The sequence below is a fragment of the Homo sapiens genome, chromosome X (genome assembly GCF_000001405.40).
Source record: "Homo sapiens chromosome X, GRCh38.p14 Primary Assembly".
NCBI lineage: Eukaryota > Metazoa > Chordata > Mammalia > Primates > Hominidae > Homo > Homo sapiens.
Genome location: NC_000023.11, coordinates 81,450,927 through 81,452,022, shown reverse-complemented (window position 1 = coordinate 81,452,022; position 1,096 = coordinate 81,450,927).

Genomic DNA, 1,096 nt, shown 5'->3' with positions numbered 1-1,096 from the left:
TTGCTGAGGAGTGTTTTACTTCCAATTATGTGGTCAATTTTAGATAAGTGTGATGTGGTGCTGAGAAGAATGTATATACTGTTGATTTGGGGTTGAGAGTTCTGTAGATGTCTATTAGGTCTGCTTAGTCCAGAGCTGAATTCAAGTCCTAAATATCCTTGTTAATTTTCTGTCTCATTGATCTGTCTAATATTGATAGTGGGGTGTTAAAATCTCCCACTATTATTATGTGGGGTCTAAATCTCTTTGTGGGTCTCTAAGAAGTTGCTTTATTAATCTGAGTGCTCCTATATTTGGTGCATATCTATTTAGGATAGTTAGCTCTTCTGGTTGCATTGATCCCTTTACCGTTACATAATGCCCTTCTTTGTCTCTTTTGTTCTTTGTTGGTTTAAAGTCTGTTTTATCAGAGACTAAGATTGCTATCACTGTTTTCTTCTGCTTTCCATTTGCTTGGTAAATATTCCTCCGTCCCTTTATTTTGAGCCTATGTGTGTCTTTGCACATGAGATGGGTCTCCTGAATACAGCACACCAATGGGTCTTGACTCTCTATTCAATTTGCCAGTCTGTGTCTTTTAATTGGGGCATTTAGCCCGTTTACATTTAAGGTTAATATTGTTATGTGTGAATTTGATCCTGTCATTATGATGTTAGCTGGTTGTTTTGCCCATTAGTTGATACAGTTTCTTCATAGTGTTGATGGTCTTTACAATTTGGTATGTTTTTGCAGTGGCTGGTACCAGTTTTACCTTTCCATGCTTAGTGCTTCCTTCAGGAGCTCTTTTAAGGCAGGCCTGGTGGTGACAAAATCTCTCAGCATTTGCTTGTCTATGAAAGATTTTATTTCTCTTTCACTTATGAAGCTTAATTTGGGTAGATATGAAATTCTGGGTTGAAAATTCTCTTCTTTAAGAATGTTGAATATTGGCCACCACTCTCTTCTGGCTTGTAGGGTTTCTGCAGAGATATACGCTGTTAGTCTAATGAGCTTCCCTTTGTGGGTAACTTAACCTTTCTCTGGCTGCCCTTAACATTTTTTCCTTCATTTTCAACCTTTGTGAATCTGATAATTGTGTCTTGGGGTTGCTATTTTT